We start from the raw sequence: 5,500 nt of genomic DNA, 5'->3' as shown, positions 1-5,500 counted from the left end.
CAACCACCATTCTCCTTGTTTGGGATTGCTGGTACACCTGTCTCTTGCAGTCCATCCTGCTTTCAGGACACTGAAGCAAATGATTATTGTTTAAAGAGATCAAAACTTACTGCTCAAAGCCATTTATTCAGAAAAGCCTAAATCCAGGTTATGCTGGATAGGTTGAAAATTAAGGAACAACCCTTCATGCTAAAAACTCTCAATAAATTGGTATTGATGGGACGTATCTAAAAATAATAAGAGCTATCTATGACAAACCCACAGCCAATATCATACTGAATGGGAAAAAACTGGAAGCATTCCCTTTGAAAACTGGCACAAGACAGGGATGCCCTCTCTCACCACTCCTATTCAACATAGTGTTGGAAGTTCTGGCCAGGGCAATCAGGCAGGAGAAGGAAATAAAGGGCATTCAATTAGGAAAAGAGGAAGTCAAATTGTTCCTGTTTGCAGATGACATGATTGTATATCTAGAAAACCCCATCGTCTCAGCCCAAAATCTCCTTAAGCTGATAGGCAACTTCAGCAAAGTCTCAGGATACAAAATCAATGTGCAAAAATCACAAGCATTCTTATACACAAATAACACACAAGCAGAGAGCCAAAGCATGAGTGAACTCCCATTCACAATTGCTTCAAAGAGAATAATAAAATACCTAGGAATCCAACTTACAAGGGACTTGAAGGACCTCTTCAAGGAGAACTACAAACCAATGCTCAATGAAATAAAAGAGGATACAAACAAATGGAAGAACATTCCATGCTCATGGGTAGGAAGAATCAATATCATGAAAATGGCCATACTGCCCAAGGTAATTTATAGATTCAATGCCATTCCCATCAAGCTACCAGTGACTTTCTTCACAGAATTGGAAAAAACTACTTTAAAGTTCATATGGAACCAAAAAAGAGCCCGCATCGCCAAGTCAATCCTAAGCCAAAAGAACAAAGCTGGAGACATCACGCTACCTGACTTCAAACTATACCACAAGGCTACAGTAACCAAAACAGCATGGTACTGGTACCAAAACAGAGATATAGACCAATGGAACAGAACAGAGCCCTCAGAAATAATGCCACATATCTACAACTATCTGATCTTTGACAAACCTGACAAAAACAAGCAATGGGGAAAGGATTCCCTATTTAATAAATGGTGCTGGGAAAACTGGCTAGCCATATGTAGAAAGCTGAAACTGGATCTCTTCCTTACACCTTCTACAAAAATTAATTCAAGATGGATTAAAGACTTAAATGTTAGACCTGAAAGCATAAAAACCCTAGAAGAAAACTTGGCAATACCATTCAGGACATAGGCATAGGCAAGGACTTCATGTCTAAAACACCAAAAGCAATGGCACCAAAAGCCAAAATTGACAAATGGGATCTAATTAAACTAAAGAGCTTCTGCACAGCAAAAGAAACTACCATCACAGTGAACCGGCAACCTACAGAATGGGAGAAATTTTTTGCAATCTGCTCATCTGACAAAGGGCTAATATCCAGAATCTACAATGAACTCAAACAAATTTACAAGAAAAAAACAACTCTATAATGAACTCAAACAAATTTACAAGAAAAAAACAAACAACCCCATCAAAAAGTGGGTAAAGGATATGAACAGACACTTCTCAAAAGAAGACATTTATGTAGCCAAAAGACACATGAAAAAATGCTCATCATCACTGGCCATCAGAGAAATGCAAATCAAAACCACAATGAGATACCATCTCACGCCAGTTAGAATGGTGATCATTAAAAAGTCAGGAAACAACAGGTGCTGGAGAGGATGTGGAGAAATAGGAACACTTTTACACTGTTGGTGGGACTGTAAACTAGTTCAACCATTGTGGAAGTCACTGTGGCGATTCCTCAGGGGTCTAGAACTAGAAATACCATCTGACCCAGCCATCCCATTACTGGGTATATACCCAAAGGACTACAAATCATGCTGCTATAAAGACACATGCACATGTATGTTTATTGAGGCACTATTCACAATAGCAAAGACTTGGAACCAAGTCAAATGTCCAACAATGATAGACTGGATTAAGAAAATGTGGCACATATACACCATGGAATACTATGCAGCCATAAAAAATGATGAGTTCAAGTCCTTTGTAGGGACATGGATGAAGCTGGAAACCATCATTCTCAGCAAACTATCGCAAGGACAAAACACCAAACACCGCATGTTCTCACTCATAGGTGGGAATTGAACAATGAGAACACACGGACACAGGAAGGGGAACATCACACACCAGGGCCAGTTGTGGGGTGGGGGTAGGGGGGAGGGACAGCATTAGGAGACATACCTAATGTTAAATGACGAGTTAATGGGTGCAGCACACCAACATGGCACATGTATACATATGTAACTAATCTGCACGTTGTGCACATGTGCCCTAAAACTTAAAATTAGAAAAAAAAAAAGAAAGAAAACTAAGGAACGGAGCTTCCTAATTTTGCCCATCAAATTCTCAAAAAAAGAGAGAAGTGACAAAATGGTAGGCCTGAAATATAAGTATGATGCTTCTGTGTTTCTTGACAGTTAAAATTGTGTCATTTTACACTCTTGTTATGTCTGAAAAAAACATAATGTCAAATTACATAAGAAATATTTAATTCTGGTAAGATAGTTGGTGTGTCTCCGGGGTATTTAAGGACATTTTTACACACGTGTCTTTAAAAAGCAATCCGGGGCTGACTACAAGCAGTGGCGATCTTAGGTGCCCATTGAAAAGTATCACAATAGCATGTGAATCCTGCACTGGCAACCGAGCTATCCAGGTTCTCTCATCAGAACTGACTAGGCAGCTGGCGTGATCTAAGGAGAGGAAGGAAGAGCAGTGTGGTGTGGAGGCCCACCTGAGAGCCACATGGGGGAGAGGAGCTCCTACCCCCCAGCCAAGGGAGGTGTGAGTGAGCGTGCTACACAGCAGGAGAAACTGCTTTTCGCATGGAACCATGCAACCCACAGATTGGGGTGAATTCACACCACCGGGGCCTAAGGTCCCAACCCCAAAGCCACGCAGATTCTCAACAGTCTCTCAGCTAAAATGTGCTTAAGGCTGCCTGGTTCCCTGGGGGAGGGGTGACCAGCACCACAGCTGTGACTGCCTATTGTCTAAGCTGTTTGAGGTCCTTGGGGGAGGGGCAGCAGCCATCACTGGGACTAACAGCTGCCTAACACGCTAAGCTGCATGGGTGGGGGAAGGGTGGCAGCCATCTTTAGCTGTAGGCTGCTGTTTTCCCCTGCTGGAGCCAGGGAGGCTGGACAGCTTGGTCCCAAGAGGTGTCCCCTGCTGGCGGACTGCAGCCAGAGTGCCTCTTCAGGCCTCACCCTGACCCATCCTTCCTCAGCGGGCAGGGCCTCCCTGCAGGAACTCCAACTCCAGCCACGGGCTCAAGGACAGAACTCTGATCTCCCTGGGCCTGAGCTCCCAGGGGGAGGGATGGCCACAGTCTCTGTGGACCAGCAGACTTAGCCTTTCCTCCTGTTAGTTCTGAAGAATCCAGGCAGCCCAGACAAGTCGGTTTCCCCCCAGCAAAGAACACCCCCTCCACCAAGGGACAGTCAAACTGCTTCATTAAATGGGTCCTGCTCCCTGTGCCACCCGACTGGGTGAGACCCTCTAACAGGGTTTGTCAGACACCCTATACAGGGGCAATCCTACACATCAGGTTGGTGCCCTCAAGGTCAGAGATTTCAGAGAAAGGAGCAGGCACCCATCTTTGCTGTTCTCCAGCCTCCTTGAGTGACAACTCCAGGCACAGGAACAAACCAGACAAATAGGGCCTGAAGTGAACCCCCAGCAAACCGAAAGCAGCCCTGCAGAAGAGGGACCTGATCATTGAAAAAGAAACAAACAAACAAAAAACAATAAAAACAGCATCAACAACATCAAAAAGGCCCCACAAAAATCCCATCCAAGGGTCAGCAGCCTCAAAGATAAAAAATAGACAAACTCTTGAAGATGAGAAAGAATCAACAGAAACATGCTAAAAACCAAAAAGACCAGAGCGCCTCTTCTCCAAATGATCGCAACACCTCTCTAGCAAGGGCATAGAACTGGATGGAGGATGAGATGGATGAATTGACAGAAGTCAGCTTCAGAAGGTGGGTAATAACAAATTCTGCTGAGCTAAAGGAGCATGTTCTAAACCAATGCAAAGAAGCTAAGAACCTTGATAAAAAGTTAAAGGAGCTGCTAACTAGAATAACCAGTTTAGAGAGGAACATAAATAACCTGATGGAGCTGGAAATGAACAAAACACCTGAGAAATATGGGACTATGTAAAAAGACCAAATCTGTGATTAATTAGACCTGAAGGACATGGGGAGAATGGAACCAAGCCGGAAAACACAATTCAGGATATTATAAAAAAGGACTTCCCCAAAATTTCAGGAAATACAGAGAACACCGCTAAGATACTCCATGAGAAGTTCAACCCCGAGGCATAATCATCAGATTCTCCAAGGTCAAAATGAAGAGAAAAAAAGTTAATGGCAGCCAGAGAGAAAGGCCAGGTCACCTACAAAGGGGAGCCCATCAGACTAACAGAGGACCTCTCAGCAGAAACCCTATAAGCCAGAAGAGAGCAGGAGCCAATATTCAACATTATTAAAGAAAAGCATTTTCAACCCAGAATTTTACATCCAGCCAAACTAAGCTTCGTAAGCAAAGGAGAAATAAAATCTTTTCCAGACAAGCAAATGCTGAGGGATTTCATCACCACCAGGCCTGCCTTGCAAGAGCTCCTGAAGGAAGCATTAAATATGGAAAGGAAAAACCAGTACCACCCACTACAAAAACAAACCGAAATATAAAGACCAACGACACTATGAAGAAACTGCATCAACTAGTGTGCAAAATAATCAGATAGCATCATGATGACAGGATCAAATTCACACATAACAATATTAACCTTAAATGTAAATGAGCTAACTGTGCCCAATTAAAAGAAGACTGGCAAATTGGATACGGAGGATACAGAGTCAAGACCCATTGGTGTCCTATATTCAGGAGACCCATCTCAAGTGCAAAAACACACATAGGCTCAAAATAAAGGGATGGAGCAAAATTTACCAAGCAAGTGGAAAGCAAAAAAAAGCAGGGGTTGCAGTTCTTGTCTCTGACAAAACAGGTTTTAAACCAACAAAGATCAAAAAAGACAAAGGCATTACATAATAGTAAAGGCATCAATTCAATGATAAGAGCTAACTATCCTAAAGATATATGCATGCAATACAGGAGCACCCAGATTCATAAAACAAGTTCAGAGAGACCTACAAAGAGAATTAGACTCCCACACAATAACAGTGGGAGACTTTAACACCCCACTGTCAATATTAGACAGATCAATGAGACAGAAAACAAGGATATTCAAGACTTGAACTCAGCTCTGGATCAAATGGATCCACAGAACTCTCCAGCCCAAATCAGCAATATATACATTCTTCTTAGTGTCACATGGCACTTATTCTAAAATTGACCAC

The 5,500-nt window shown here is 42.7% G+C and overlaps 1 annotated feature.

Annotated features, from left to right (window-relative positions):
• Positions 2,490–3,220: an enhancer, noted in NCBI's record as "OCT4-NANOG-H3K27ac-H3K4me1 hESC enhancer chr3:63001433-63002163 (GRCh37/hg19 assembly coordinates)". NCBI's record gives its function as "activates a minimal SCP1, AML or CMV promoter by ChIP-STARR-seq in naive and primed H9 embryonic stem cells {active_cell/tissue: H9 hESC(naive and primed)}" and the evidence as "EXISTENCE:reporter gene assay evidence [ECO:0000049][PMID:30033119]".

This window comes from Homo sapiens, chromosome 3 (genome assembly GCF_000001405.40).
Source record: "Homo sapiens chromosome 3, GRCh38.p14 Primary Assembly".
Lineage (NCBI taxonomy): Eukaryota > Metazoa > Chordata > Mammalia > Primates > Hominidae > Homo > Homo sapiens.
This window is presented reverse-complemented; position numbering and strand designations above follow the sequence as displayed.